The sequence below is a fragment of the Homo sapiens genome, chromosome 7 (assembly GCF_000001405.40).
Source record: "Homo sapiens chromosome 7, GRCh38.p14 Primary Assembly".
NCBI classification, from domain to species: domain Eukaryota; kingdom Metazoa; phylum Chordata; class Mammalia; order Primates; family Hominidae; genus Homo; species Homo sapiens.
The window spans coordinates 22895022-22910867 of NC_000007.14; the positions used below are offsets into that span (position 1 = coordinate 22895022).

General features: G+C 39.2%; 1 protein-coding gene across 1 annotated transcript in view; it reads right to left on the minus strand.

The window, feature by feature from the left end:
- The window catches only part of HYCC1 (hyccin PI4KA lipid kinase complex subunit 1), a 118288-nt gene continuing 103263 nt past the window's right edge, over window positions 822-15846 (minus strand). Inside the window, exon 11 of the mRNA XM_011515590.3 lies at window positions 822-1097. Within this exon, the coding sequence (XP_011513892.1) occupies window positions 976-1097 (122 nt within the window). The 3' untranslated portion in view covers window positions 822-975. The remainder of the gene's footprint in view (window positions 1098-15846) is intronic.

A 15846-nucleotide genomic window follows, 5' to 3' on the forward strand; every position in this document is an offset into this window, starting at 1 on the left:
ATGTGGTCTTAGAGCTCCAAGATTGAAGGGCCCCCAAACTTTTTTTTTTTTTTAATTAAAAAAATTTTTTTGTAGAGACAGACTCTCCCAGGTTGCCTAGGCTGGTCTTGAACTCTTGGCCTCAAGCAATCCTCCTGCCTCAGCCTCCTGAAGCACTGGGATTATAGGTGTGAGCAACCACACCCAACCCCAACTCCTTATTTTGCTCCCAGGTTCAGCCTTGTCTGTGGAGGGAGAGACATAGCACAGAACCTCCCAACCCCATCTGCTTCTCTAGTTAACTAAGCAAGTCAATCCTTAGCCTCCAGCCCTTCGGCTCCCTGCCTGCATAATCAAACAGATTTAGAGTAAAGCCAGCATTGGATTAAATCCTAGTGTTCTTTAATAGAATGCTAAACATAAACCATGGAGGGCTAAACGATTCTTCCCCTCCCCCTGTCTCCCACCATCATCCCCTCCCTCCCTACACAAATTGCACCAGCTTAGACCCTGCCTTCCTTACACCTTTATTCCTGCCTGTGAACTGCTTTGAATTTTTGTCATAATTGCTATGTGACTTACAGGCATTCTTGAATTTTTTTCTCCATATAAACCTTATTTTGCCCCTAACAGTGATGGAAACAGACTTGGAAAGTTTTGGAAGCATCATTTCTGTATTATAAGTCATCACACTTCCTCTGTTGACATTCATTCATTGGTTCATCGCTAGTGGCCATAATTTAATAATCTGCCCTTTAGATCTCCTACATACACTGCTATTTTTCTAACCAACAACATGCAAAAAATGGTGTAAGGGCAAAGACAGCACCCAACACCAGCAAGGCTGTGAAGCTGTTTTTATTATGATGATTTCCTTATGTTGTACACAGACTGTGGCATCCAGCTAGACAAGCTCTGTGGTTAATATTATATTTGAAATGAAAAAGATTCCAAGTTCTTCAAATTTGCATTCTCAAAGTCTGTCTTCTTGAATTTCTATATTTTAAAAACAATCTTCTGACAATTAAGATCGTATTTAAATAGGCTTTGCAAATTCCAGCAAGAAACTGAGTCCACATCATTTGAGGTGCTATTCTGTCGACTTCCCTTGCTTCCCCCTAGCCAAAAAGATAAGCCATTTTTAAAATTGTATAATTACTTAAAAAAATGTTTCAAGTATTCAACACATAGCAAGCTAGGCTCCCTGAGAGTTATGATACAGGAGAAAGGGACAAAAGGATACCATGCCAAAAACTGGAAGAGGGAAATTGATAAATTGAATATGACTCTAAAGCAATGGAACAAAGCAAATGTTAATAGGCAGACTGCAATTCTGGCTACCCTGGAGGCATTAGTTATTTCTGAGCTAATCCTAAATTAATTCACTCAGAATGACCACTACAGAGCTGCTTTAAGAGACAGGGTACACAGTTCTGCAGTTGCATGATTCCTACATATGACAATTAGACAGCAAGGCTAAAGCAGAGAGCAATCTAGCAACTGCATAGCCCAGAAAGAAACAACTCTGGTTCCAATTTACTGACAAACTCCTAACTTGCTGAAGTCTCAGTGTCTGCCCCTTGGTTTTTGCCTTTTATACAATTGTCTTTTGGTTATTGCATGCATTCAAAAAAAAATGTTCCATTGAGCATTCCCTGGCAGAGAGGAGAAAGGCCTTTCTCTCATTCCCATCTTCCATACTAAACTTCTCTTCCATCTGTATTTTTTTTCCTCTTCCCAAAGGAGGGCCTTCTCTGACAGTCTGGGAGTTCAGAGTGTAAATCACCCCTTATTAGCTCTGAACATTGGACAAGTCCCTTTACTTCTGTCAGCCACAGACACTCAAGAAATATTTACTGAGGTAGTATGTTTTCTAAGAGATGGGGATTAAGGGGAGAACAAGATAAAGCCCCCACTTTATAAGCTCACATACATATGGCAGAAACAATCAATGGGAGAACAAAGAGGCACTTAATAAAGTGTAAGAGGGAGGCAAAGGTCAGCGGTTGGGGTGGGGGAAGGGCAGAGAGTGAAGGAGGGAGGTTACTTTGGATGGAGCCACCAGGAAAAGCTCTTCAGGTCATGAGGTCTGAGCAGAGACCAAATAAGGTAAGAGAGTGAGTCACATCTTGGGGAGAGACAGCGATTGCAGACAGCAAGGTGAGACTAAGGTTGGCCTGTTCCAAGAACGACAAGCTGGTGTGCTGGAGTGCGGTCTGTGTGGGACAGAGTAGAAGGAAATGAGGGAGGTACGTGGAACTAGGACATATGCACCCTGTGGCCACTGTGGGACTTCTGATTTTATTCAGTGACAGGAAACAACTGGAGAGTTTTAGCAGAGGAGTTACGTGATCTGATTTTGTTTTATAAAATTGGCTCTGGTTGATTTTGTCAAGAGTGGACTCCAGAAGAGTAAAAGTATTGCTTACTCCATGGAAGCAATAAGACCAGAAAGGAGGTTATAATGATGACTGTGGCAAGGGATGATGGTAGTTCACTAATCTATGAGGGTAACAGTAGCAACAATTGCACGGCACTGTTGTGAGAATTAAATAAGATAGTACGTGCAGGTAGCTTGACATTGTGCCTAGCACATAGTAATAACAGTGTTAGCATTCTTTTGTTTGTTTGTTTGTTTGTTTTGAGGCAAGGTCTTGCTCTGTTGCCCAGGGTGGAGTGCAGTGGGGTGAGCTCCTCCTGGGCTCAAGCGACCCTCACACCTCAGCTCCCAAGTAGCTGAGGCTACAGGTGCTCGCTACCACACCAGCTAATTTTTGTGTGTTTTTAAAATTTATTTATTTATTTATTTATTTTTGTAGAGATGGGGTTTTTTCATGTTGCCAAGCTGGTCTCGAACTCCTAGGCTCAAGTGATTCACCCAACTTGGCCTCCCAAAGTGCTGGGATTACAGGTCTGAGCCACCACACCTGGCTTGAGCATTCTTATTGCTATCATCATGATTATTATTTTGAGGTGATTCTTCTACGCCAACTCCTTTTCTAAGCTTTGGCACTGATATTGCTTGAGGGATTCCAAATGTTTCTTTCTTTCTTTCTCTTTTTTAAAGATAGGGTCTTGCTTTGTTACCCAGGCTGGAGTGCAGTGCATGATCATGGCTCACTGCAACCTCTGCCTCCCAGGCTCAAGCCATCCTCCCACCTCAGCGTCCCAAGTAGCTGGCACACACCACCATGCCCAGCTAATTTTTGCTTTTATTTATTTATTTTTTTTGAGACAGAGTCTCACTCTGTCACCCAGGCTGGAGTGCAGTGGCGCGATCTCGGCTCACTGGAACCTCCACCTCCTGGGTTCAAGCGATTCTGCTCCCTCAGCCTCCTGAGTAGCTAGGATTACAGGCACACACCACCACACCCAGCTAATTTTTGTATTTTTAGTAGAGATGGGGTTTCACCATGTTGGTCAGGCTGGTCTTGAACTCCTGATCTCATGATCTGCCTGACTTGGCCTCCCAAAGTGCTGGGATTACAGGTGTGAGCCACTGTGCCTGGCCAATTTTTGCATTTTTTATGGAGACAGGGCAGGGTTTCCCCATGTTACCCAGGCTGGTCCAAATATTTCTTTTCTTTTCTTTTCTTTTCTTTTCTTTTTTTTTTTTTTTTGAGACAGAGCCTCGTTCTGTCGCCCAGCCTGGAGTACAGTGGCATGATCTCGGCTCACTGCAACCTCCACCTCCCGGGTTCAGGTGATTCTCCTGCCTCAGCTTCCCAAGTAGCTGGGACTACAGGCGCCCGCCACCACACCCGGATAATTTTTGTATTTTTAGTAGAGATGAGGTTTCACCATATTGGCCAGGCCGGTCTCAAACTCCTGACCTTGTGATCTGCCCGCCTCGGCCTCCCAAAGTGCTGGGATTATGGGCATGAACCACCCCGCCCGGCTGGTCCGAATATTTCTCAATCCCTTCCAAGCACTCCCTTGTGTGTCCAAGCAAGCTTGCATACAGGAAGGTTTATGTGGTTGGTCCAAAATGTTCAAAATTCTTTGTCAAGGCCATTTTTATTCACTGTGGTTATAAATCCTGCCACTTATGACCTTAGAGAGGCAGCGTGGTAGCAAGTCCTGACATGGCACTGCTTCCCAGGGGCATCTGGTGGTTGGTGGGGAGGGGCATTTCTGAATGTCACGATGGCAGGAGGGCAGTGCTGGCACTTTGAGTGAGGTCTGGGGATATTAAATGAAACAGTCCTGCACAATCAATGATTTTCCACCCAGACTCCCCATGCTGTCCCTCTGGAAAACACTTAGGAGGCAGGAAAGTCTTCTTGCAGGTTGTACGTGGCCCAACTCCAAGGAAGTTGTACAGCATGGGGGGCCTGGGGATGCTGGCATAGAGGAAATATCCAAAAAATGGAAGAAATTTCCTCCACTACCTTCTCGGAAGGTTAAGGATATCCAATAAGTTAATGTATGTATGTATTAATTAAGTTGTAAGTCATCATGAGACTGACCAACCTGTCCCTCTGCACACACAAGTTGCTAATGAGGCAGAAAATAGTCTCTGCCTTAGAGAATTTATAATTCAATCATCAGTAATGAGTAGCTGTACCCTCCTATTAGAGAAGAAAGTGGGCAATGTGCTTTCAAAATTATGGGCCTGGTTTTCGCAAACCAAACATCTTATTTTTAATTAAACTTTGTAAATGCCAATTCTTTTTTTCTCTAGTTATGAATATCCATATTGTACCAAAATGTGTTAAGTCAAAGATACTTAAAATACTACTTAGGCTTTTAAAAACAAAATTATATGTAACATTGTTTATGACAACTACCTTCTTTTTAAAATGGGAAAGGAACTAGTCAATGGCCCAAATTAATCTTTTTTTTCTCTCTTTTGCTTTTTTTTTAAAGAAAAGTTATGGTTGTCTCCTTTACAGCAAAATAATCTGAAGAGAAATTCTGATCTGTTAGAATAAAATTGAACTGATTCTTTAGGAAATTTCATTTTTGTAGTCAGAAAATTTTATGCATTCATTATTAAATCACTCATTTGTAGATAATAAACATTGTCTACCATAGGCCAGTTTTGCACAGACTTTCAAAATTTATTCCAAAGGGCACTCCTAGCCTAAATAAACAACAAAATGGGAATAGGAGACATGGGCAACAAATACTAGAAGCTACATTTAATGTAATTTTTTAAAGGGGACAGTTTTCCTTTATTAGTAAGATAATTAAAGGGAAATAACAACAACAAAAAAAAGAACTGTGTTAAAAATGTGCTGAGGTTAAAATGTTGGCACACTAAGTACATTTGACAAGCTTAATGACCTTGGCAGGCACTGACCGCTGTTTACTTTGTATTCACCCTCCTTCTTTCCTACTAGCAAATATCAAACAAAGAGAATCCCCTATTTCAGTGTAGATGGATTCATTCTCCAATTCTAGAATGTGAATCAAATTTGTCTAACCTAGTCACTATCCATGGACAATGGTTGGTCTAAAGGTAGTGATTAAACCCAATTTTAGCCAATGAGATGTAAACAGATATCTGCTAGGTAAGCTTCCAGGAAAACCTTTGAAGCACTGTATTAAAAAGGCAAGATCTGCTTAGGGATGTATATTATAATTCTTAGAGCAATCATTAAAATAGCAATACAAAGAAATATAGCTAAAAATCAAATAGATAAATTAAAATGGAATACTAGGAAAATTGTTTAAAAAACAATAAGATGGGAACAGAAGAACAAAAAATGAAGGGTACAGATGATGAGATGATGAAATGATAGACCTAGATTCAGCCATATCAATAATTACATTAAATGTTAATGATCTAAACACATTAAAAAGCAAAAATTATCAGAGTGAGTAGAAAAAAGCAAGACTCAACTATATGCTCTGTACATGATACCATCTTTATTTGTGTCTTCTCTAAGTAAGAAGACACAAATAGGTTTGAAAGTACATGCAACGAAAAACATACTGGCCTGGCATGGTGGTTCATGCCTGTAAGCAATTTGGGAGGCTGAGGCAGGCAGATTCCTTGAGCCCAGGAGTTTGAGACTACCCTGGGCAACATGCCAAAACCTCATCTCTACTAAAAATACAAAAAGTTACCCAGGTGTGGTGGTTTGTGCCTGTAGTCCCAGCTATTTGGAAGGCTGAGGTGGGAGGATCGCTTGAGCCCAGGAAGTTGAGGGGGCAGTAAGCCATGATTGCACCACTGCACTACAGCCTGGACAATGGGAGTGAGACCCTGTCTCAAAAAAAAAAAAAAAAAAAAAAAAAGGAAAGAAAAATATACACCAATAATTCTTTTTAAAAAATGTTAAGCAACCCAGAGGAAGTCAGAAAAAATAAACAAAAAAGAAGAAACTAACAGAAAACTAAAAATAGAAAAAAATAGAATGAAAGATTTAAGCCCTGACATATCAATAATTACATTAAATGTAACTGGTGTAAACACACCAATTAGAAGACGAAGATTGGCAGAGTGGATAAAGAACATAGCCTAACTATATACTGTCTACAAGAAACTCATTTCAAATACAAATCCTAAGAACATTTTTAGGGACTAAATGTTTGTGTTTCCACAAAATTCATTTGTTGAAGCTCTAGCCCCAACTAAGATGGTATTTGGAAAAATAAGTAAGCCTAAGAAGGCTGAAGAGGATATATTGATATCAGATTAAATAAACAATAAGACAAGAATATTACCAGAGATAAAAGAGAATATATCAGAAATATAAAAGGAGCAATCCATCAGAAAGACATATAAATTATAAATATGTGCCTAATAACAGAACCTCAAAATACATGAAGAAAAAAAATTAACCAAATTAAAGGGAGAAACAGATAATTCTGCAATCATAGTAAAATATTTTAATATACTTCTTTTATCAATTGATAGAACAACTAGACAAAATTCAGGACATAGTAGATTTGAATAATACTATAAAATATCTTGATATAATCAGCATTTGTATAATATTACATCCAACAATTGCAGAATACATATCCTCTTCAAGTACACATGGTACATTCACCAAGACAGACCATATGCTGAGCCATAAAACAAATCTCAATAACTTCTAAGGAATTGATAGCATGTAGAGCATATTGTCCAACCACAATAGAATTAAATTACAAATCGTATCAATAAAAGTAACATATCTAGGAAACCTCAAATATTTGGAAATTAAATGCAAGCTTTCAAATGTTATAAGTCAAAGGAGAAATCAGAAGGAAATTTAGAAATTATGTTAAACACAATGACAAAAATAGAACACATAAAAATATATGGGATGTGGGTAAAGCAGTGCTTAGGGAGAAATGTATAGTTTTAAATGCTTGTATTAGAAAACAATTTGATAGTTTTAAATTAATGATTATTTTAAGAAGCTAAAAAAAAACCCAAAGTAAGTATCAGAAAGTAAATAAAATTAATTACAACAAAAGTCAGAAAAATAGAAAACACACAATAGAGAAAATTAACAAAACCAAAAGCTAGTTCTTTGAAAATATTACCAACAAAGAATTATTGGAACCAAAATTTAAATAATCTGAAACTGAGAAGCCCTGAGCTACAGTAACAAACCAGTTTGGCCTTAGCAAACGGTAGATATATAGACCAGGAGAACTGGATAGACAGTCCAGAAATATGCCATATATATGGTTATTTTTTTTAAAGTGTCAAGGAAATTCAATGGAAAAAAATATTTTCAACAAATGGTGCTGGAACTATTGCATATCTATATGGGGAAAAAATGAACACTGACCCTTTCTTCAAATCATGTACAAAAATTAAGGCAAACTGTATAATAGACTAATATAAAATCTAAAACTATAAAACTTCCAGAAGACAACTAGGATAAAATTTTAGTGACCTTGAGATAAACATAGTTTCTTAGATAGGAACACTAAAGCATAGACCATAAATGGAAGAAATGATAAATTAAACTGCAGCAGCCAAGGAAGGTATACAAATGACCAGTAAGCACATAAAAAGGTATTCAATAACATTAGTCATTAGGAAAATGCAAATCAAAACCACAGTAAGATACCACCTCACACATACTAGAATAGCTAGAATAAAAAAGGCAGTGTTGATAAATTTTGGAAAGGAGGTGAAGGAATTGCATCCCTTATACACTCCTGGAGTGGGGGAGTATAAAATAAAGCAGCCACTGTGGAAAACAGTTCAGTGGTTTCTCAAAAGGTTGAACATAGTTTCCACATAATCCAGTAATTTCACTCATAGGCATATATTCAAGCGAAATGAAAACATGCAAGCATACAAACTTGTACACAAATGTTCATAACAGCTTTATTTGTAATAGCCCTAAACTGGAAACAATCTAAAATTGACAAACTTCTTGTAATGAAAAAAAAAGAGACTCCAAATAACCAAGAATTTAAAAACAATTATAACTATAGATTCAACCAATATTAAAAGGATTGTGAGAGAATATTATGAAAAACCTTATGCCAACAAATTTGACAACTTACATAAATGAACAAACTCCTAGAAAAATAAAACTTATCAAAATTGACACAAGAAGAAACAGAAAATCTGAATAGCTCTATCTCTGTTAAAAGAAATTAATTTGTTACCAGCAACCTACCCACAAAGTAAATTCTAGGACACTTAGTTTCACTGGTAAATTTTATCAATCAAGGAAGAAATAATACTGATCTCATGTAAAATTTTCAGAAAATAAAGCAGGAGGAAACACTGTCTACTCATGTTATGAGACAATAACTCTAATGTCAAATTCTTTTTTAAAATGACATACTAATATCCCTCATGAGTAGTGGTTCATGATGTTTCCCTCTTAAAGGAAATTTGTCAACATGTGAAGACATTTTTTAATATCATAACCTGGCCAGAGAGGGGTGGACAACCACTGGATAAAGGAATAAGCACTAGGAATCAACATTTCTGTAACATTTCACAATTTTTATTATGAAATGTTGAAGGAAAAATGAAGGGATTATAATTTTCCTATATTCCCTAACAAATTTTATTTTTACCTAGAAGTAGATAGCTATAAACATACCATAATATTCAAGCTGATAAAACAAAATCAAGAAAATGTATAACATAGTAAGACCAATAATATCAAAAATGTAGAAATTATCAAATCCTAAAGAAACTTAGTAATTGAAACCTTAAAAAAATATGTTTTTAGGGCCGGGCATGGTGGCTCATGCCTGTAATCCCAGCACTTTGGAAGGCCAAGGCGGGCGGATCACGAGGTCAGGAGATCGAGACCATCTTGGCTAACACAGTGAAACCCCATCTCTACTAAAAGTACAAAAACTTAGCCGGGCGTGGTGGCAGGTGCCTGTAGTCTCAGCTACTTGGGAGGCTGAGGCAGGAGAATGGCATGAATCCAGGAGGCGGAGCTTGTAGTGAGCTGAGATCGTGCCACTGCACTCCAGCCTGGGCAACAGAGCGAGACTCTGTCTCAAAAAAAAAAAAAAAGTAATAATAATAATAATATATATATGTCTTTGGTAACCCATAGCACTTATTCCTGGAAAGCAAAGTGAAGTAAAACATAATTCATCATGCTTTCAACAGAATAAAGGTATAAGTCACATTTTAAAGGAAAATATTTTATACAAGTCACCATCTGTGTTAGACCATTCTTGCATTACTATAAAGAAATAACTGAGTCTGGGTAAGTTATAAAGAAAAGAGGTTTAGGGCCAGGCATGGTGGCTCATGACAGCACTTTGGGAGGTCGAGGTGGGCAGATCACTTGAGGCCAGGAGTTTGAGACCAGCCTGGCCAACATGGTGAAACCCTGTCTCTACTAAAAATCCAAAAATTAGACAGGTGTGGTGGTATGCACCTGTAGTCCCAGCTACTCAGGAGGCTGAGGTGACAGAGGGAGACTTTGTCTCAAAAAAAAAAAAAAAAGAAAGAAAAGAGGTTTAATTGGCTCATGGTTCTGCAGGCTATACAGGAAGCATGGTGCTGGCATCCACAAGACTCCTGGTGAGGGCCTCAGGGAGGTTACAATCGTGGTAGAAGGAGAAAGGGAGTAGAGTATCACACAGCAAGAAAGGGAACAAGAGAGAGAAGGAGGGAGGGGCCACACAGTTTTAAAAAACCAGATCTTTTGTGAACTCACTTACCACCAAAGGGTTGGCACTAAGCCATTCATGACAGATCCACCCCCGTGATCCAAACACCACCCACCAGGCCCACCTCCAACACTGGGGATTACATTTCTTTTTTCTTTTTTTCTTTTTGTTGAAACAGAGTGTTGCTGTGTTGCCCAGGCTGGAGTGCAGTGGTGATCTTGGCTCACTGCAACCTCCACCTCCCAGGTTCAAGCGATTCTCCTGTCTCAGCCTCCCAAGTAGTGAGTAGCTGGGATTTAGAGGCACGCACCAGGATACCCGGCTAATTTTGTATTTTTTTTTTTTTTTTTTTTTTTTTTTTAGTAGAGACAGTGTTTCTCCTTGTTGGCCGGGCTAGTCTTGAACTCTTGACCTCAAGTGATCTACCCGCCTCAGCCTCCCAAAGTGTTGAGATTACAGGCATGAGCCACCGATTTGAAGGGGACAAATATACAAACCATGTCACCATCTTTACTTAATTTCTTCTCATAAGGATTTAATAATATAATTAAAGAAAATTTGCTAAGAAGGAAAAAAGTGCTATTATCATCCTGTAAGTTTTTATTTTTATATAATTCTTTTCAATTTTTCCTGAAATGCAGTTATATTTATACATGGCATCATGCATTCTGGTTTTTCACATAGAATATAAAATGTTTTATGTCTACATAAGTTGTTTGATAAAAATGAAATATATTAAGTTACGGAGGATTTCTTTAACACAATTTATAATTTTGCAATCTATTTACAGGAGGATACAAAACTCTAATAGAGGAAAAATAAATTTATGAAGACATGTGCCTTATTGTTGTGTGAGAAGATGAAGTAAAATATTAATATGTTCATTAAGTTAGATTACATTAAGTACCAGTTACAGTCTCCAGCCCACCCTCTTGACAAGTTTATAGTGTAATTCATCTGGAAAGATTAGTAAGACTATCATACAGTGCCATTACTGATGATCATGATGGTGATAATGATAATGATGATGATGATTAGTAGTTATAATAATATAGTCATCTGAATGCGGCAATTTTTTTTCCAGAACAGCATTGATACTTGCTAACTCAGATCAATTAATATTTCCATCTCCACTGACTGATGTATTAAATTTGAAAGTTATTCTAAAGAGGTGGCATTAAACATTAAAAACTATTCTAAAAGCTAGAAAAAAATGGACTCGTGTATTTATCTCAGCTATGAAAGAATGATACATGACTCAAACCTGTAATCTCAGCACTTTGGGAGACCAAGGCAGGCGGATCACCTGAGCTCAGGAGTTCGAGACCAGCCTGGCCAACATGGTGAAACCCCACGTCTACTAAAAATACAAAAATCAGCCGAGCATGGTAGCGTGTGTGTGTAATCCCAGCTACTTGGGAGGCTGAGGCACGAGAATCACTTGAACCTAGGAGGCTGAGGTTGCAGTGAGCCAAGATCGCGCCACTGCAATCCAGCCTGGGTGACAGAGTGAGACTCGGTCTCAAAAAAAAAAAAAGAATGATACATGACAAAATGGAGGCCATTTTCAGATATACATAAAATATACTAGTATAAAATATTAAAAGTAACAAAAGAAAGATAAATATGTAATATAGTACTAATAAAAGACAATTTTAAATATATAAGGTTAGTACCTGATTCTGCCTGACTTACAGCCAAGGTGGACAAACCACTTACGCATGCAGACTTAAAGACATCAAATTACCAAAATGAAAAATACACACCTGGCTGGGTTTCTTTAATACATGTACAATCTAGGGCACAATTACACATCTATTAAAAATTGAAAAAGAATTAAAAGCCCAAGATTGGAAGCACTCATTTGCAGAAGTTGGGGTTGGAAGGTGGGAATACAAAAAATTAGCTGGGCATGGGGGCGGGCACTTGTAATCCCAGCTACTCGGGAGGCTGAGGAAGGAGAATCACTTGAGCTTGGGAGGCAGAGGTTGCAGTAAGCCGAGATCGTGCCACTGCACTCCAGCCTGGGTGACAGAGTGAGACTCTATCTCAAAAAAAAAAAAAAAAAAAAAAAAAAAGCAATGGTTCTTCTAGTGTACAAGTCAATCACCTGGCCCAGGCTGGTTCGGGCCTTCACAAAAGAATAACGGTATCTAGGAGTGGTGTGAAAACTTTCCCTTTCTCCTTACTTAGTTCAACTAAGATGCCTGGATTTTTAAAAATAAACCTTTATTAAGAAACAAAGGTAACAATGAAGCAAAAAAGTATTGGCACCTGGTGGGGTCTAGCCAAAAACTGGCTGAGGCTGGCTGGCACGTTACCTTAGCCTGTCCAGGCAACCTCATCACGGAATCCCTCAGCCCCTTCTGGTCCCTGGAATCTAGGAGATCTGTTAGGAGAGTGAACAACTATTCAAACACCATTTATTGAGAACCTTTTAGGTATTAGAGACTTCAATGAGCCAAATATTTTCCTGGTGCTTATCTAAACAAATAATCATAAGGAAGTGTGCAAAATATTTTGAAGGATTCATAGGTAGATGCAGACTGACATGCTTATTAAAATGCAGATTTCAGCTGGGTGCGGGGGCCCACCCCTGTAATCCCAGCACTTTGGGAGGCCGAGGCGGGTGGATCACTTGATGTCAGGAGTTTGAGACCAGCCTGGCCAACATGGTGAAACCCCGTCTCTACTAAAAAAATACAAAAGTTAGCTGGGCGTGGTGGCGCATGCTCATAGTCCCAGCTGCCCAGGAGGCTGAGGCAGGAGAATCGCTTGAACCCGGGAGGCGGAAGTTGCAGTGAGCTGAGATCACACCACTGCTCTCCAGCCTGAGCAACAGAACAAGAGCCTGTCTCAAAAATAAATAAATAAATATGCAGATTTTTATGCTTCTTTCCCACTACCACCCCCACTCTCCCATTTGCTGACCCATAATCTATTATTAGGAATGAGAAATCTTCCCAGAAGGTTCTCATGCAGGCAGTCTGAGGGCTGCCCTCAAGCAAAAAGTGGACTTAAAGGAGGATTAAGACCTCTCTTGCCTCCAAATTTTCTGAGTTTATAATTTTGTTTTAGTAGACTAAAACATAAGAAGAGCTTAAGTGATGAAAAATAGGGAAATGCACAAGGCATAGTTCCATACAATGGAGTGGTAAAAAGGTCATTTGACAAATTTCTTTTGGAAGACGTTGGTGCTCTTCTATTTTAGGAGCTAACAAGAGCCCTGGTACCCATAGATTCCTTTTTAGTCTGACTTCCACTATATACTCAATTTAAGTAGCTTGCTTTGGTTACATTTTCTTGTATGGCACTGTTGTGAAACACATGCTCTAATGTTCCAGCACACAGACACGATTTGGCATTTCTTTTGCTTGTGATTTTGGTTTTATTATGCCTCTATTCTGGTCTTCCAGGCATTATGTGGAGAGGTAATGTTGAAAACCACATTCTCCAAATAGAGCTGTTAATTCCATGCATCTTTGATCTACATCTTCTGTTACTTGCATTTACTCCCCCTCCATTTGTCACCCCATCAGTGATTCTCCATCTGACCCTGAACACCTTTCCAGCCTCTAATAAAATCTGCACTCCAGTCAGACTGGACTCCTTATACCTTGTGTAGTAAAGAATTAAGTGTACCCAAAGAGAGGTCTGGCCTTTACTCTCAGCTCCTAAAAGGTCATCTGTAAGCCCTTGAAATGTCTTGACTGATAAGAATGACTTTGTTTACCTGGGGGCCTTGGGCCACACTGGGTAGTCTAAGAGTGTGATTTATTGTGGGGGTTTGGTACTATGCAGTATCAGCTTGACCTCCAGAGGGGCTACAGCCTAAAAGCCAGTTATGCAGGCAGTCAACTGTATTGATGTGACTGAGCCCCAATAAAAACTCTGTGCATTAAGGCTCAGATGAGCTTTCCTGGTTGATAATACTCTAGGTGGACTGTCTCCCATTATTGCTGGGAGAAGTTAACATGGTCCATGACCATGCTGGGAGAGGACAACTAGAAACCACACATGGACTTCTCCTGGGCTCTGCCTGATATGGGTTGAATCTGTGTCCTTACCAAATCTCATGTCGAAATGTAATTCCCAGTGTTGGAGGTGGGGCCTGGGGGAAAGTGATTGGATCACAGGGGTGGATCCCTCATGGCTTGGTGCTCTCCTCATGAGAGCAAGTGAGTTGTTGGAAGATTTGGTTGTTTAAAAGTGTGCAGCACCTCCCCACCACCTCTTGTTCCTGCTCCTGCCATGTGAGACACCTGCTCCCCCTTTGCCTTCCACCATGACTGGAAGCTTCCTGAGGCCTTCCCATAAGCAGATGCTGGCACTATGTTTTCTGTACAGCCTGCAGAACCATGAGCCAATTAAACTTGTTTTCTTATTAATTACCCAGTCTCAAGTATTTCTTTACAGTAATGCAAGAATGGCCTAACACACCACTCCACGCATGTCTTCTACAGGCTGACTTTAATCGATATCCCTTTGCCATAATAAACCATAACCATAAGCGTGACTGCTTCTAGTGAGTTCTGTGAATCCTTCTAGCGGGTTATTAACCCTAAAGATGGCCTTGCTGACTCCCTAAGTTTGCACACCTACAATGCTCTGAACACATCAAGGTCTTTTATTCTTCTAGATCTTTCCTCCTGTAGTTCCCTCTGCCTGATACTTCTTTCCCCGGACCCTTCTCTCCCTTACTCACCTGGCAAACTCCTGTTCTTTTATGTAGGTATTGTTAAGCACCTCTTTTGTGAGTCCTCACCAGATCCTTCTTTCAGACGAAATTAGTCATTCCCCATCCCACTCCCATTATGCTAGTTCTCTTAGGACACCTAGCACAAATAATCATGACCCTCACATCTTTGCATTCTCAGTACCCAGCAGAGGGCTTCACACAGAGTAGGCCTTTAGTGCATGTGTATGAACTGAATGAATTACATACGGACATGACTGTTTGAAATAAAGGGGAAAAAATCCAGACCAGAAAATATGCACATATGAAATGCAACTCAGTGACAAATATGTAAGGCTATTAATAAGCACCAGCAAGGCATGCCAAGTACTGTCTGATGTGTTTCAGATCTTTCTCCTCTCCAAATCTCATGTTGAAATGTGATCCTCAATGTTGGAGGTGGCGCATAGTGGGAGGTATGCAGGTCATAGGGGCAGATCTCTCATGAATGGTTTGATGCCCTTCCCATCGTAATGAGTGAGTTCTCATTCTGTTTGTTCACAAGAGAGCTAGTTGGTTAAAAAGAGCCTGGCATTGCTTTTGCTCCTTCTCATGCCATGTGACATGCCTGCTCCCCCTTCACCTTTCACCATAATTGTAAATTTCCTGAGGCCTCACCAGAAGCCAAGCAAATGTGGATGCCATGCTTGTACAGCCTGCAGAATCGGAAGCCAAATAAACCTTTTTCTTTAATATTATTCAGTCTCAGCAATGCAAAACAGACTAATACATACCTATTTAACACCTAATATTATCTTTCTTAGCATAAAGAAACCATTTCTTTTTTAACATGAAAAACGAGGGTAGGACCACTACAATAAAAACTGTTTCCCAAGATGCACATGTATAACTGCAAGGTTAGAAATGCTAAAATATGATGTGTAAAATGTTTCTAAAATGGGCAAATTTTCATATTTTAAATCATAAGCAGATCTATTTTAGCAATCCAATTACTTTTGGCATAAAATATATCATTACATTTTCCCGGTTTTTTTGGGGGGGCAACTAATTTTAGTTAACTTCTAGTGAGTTACTGTAAGAAAGTATTTTAAGAGTATGCTTATTCTTTCTGAAATATG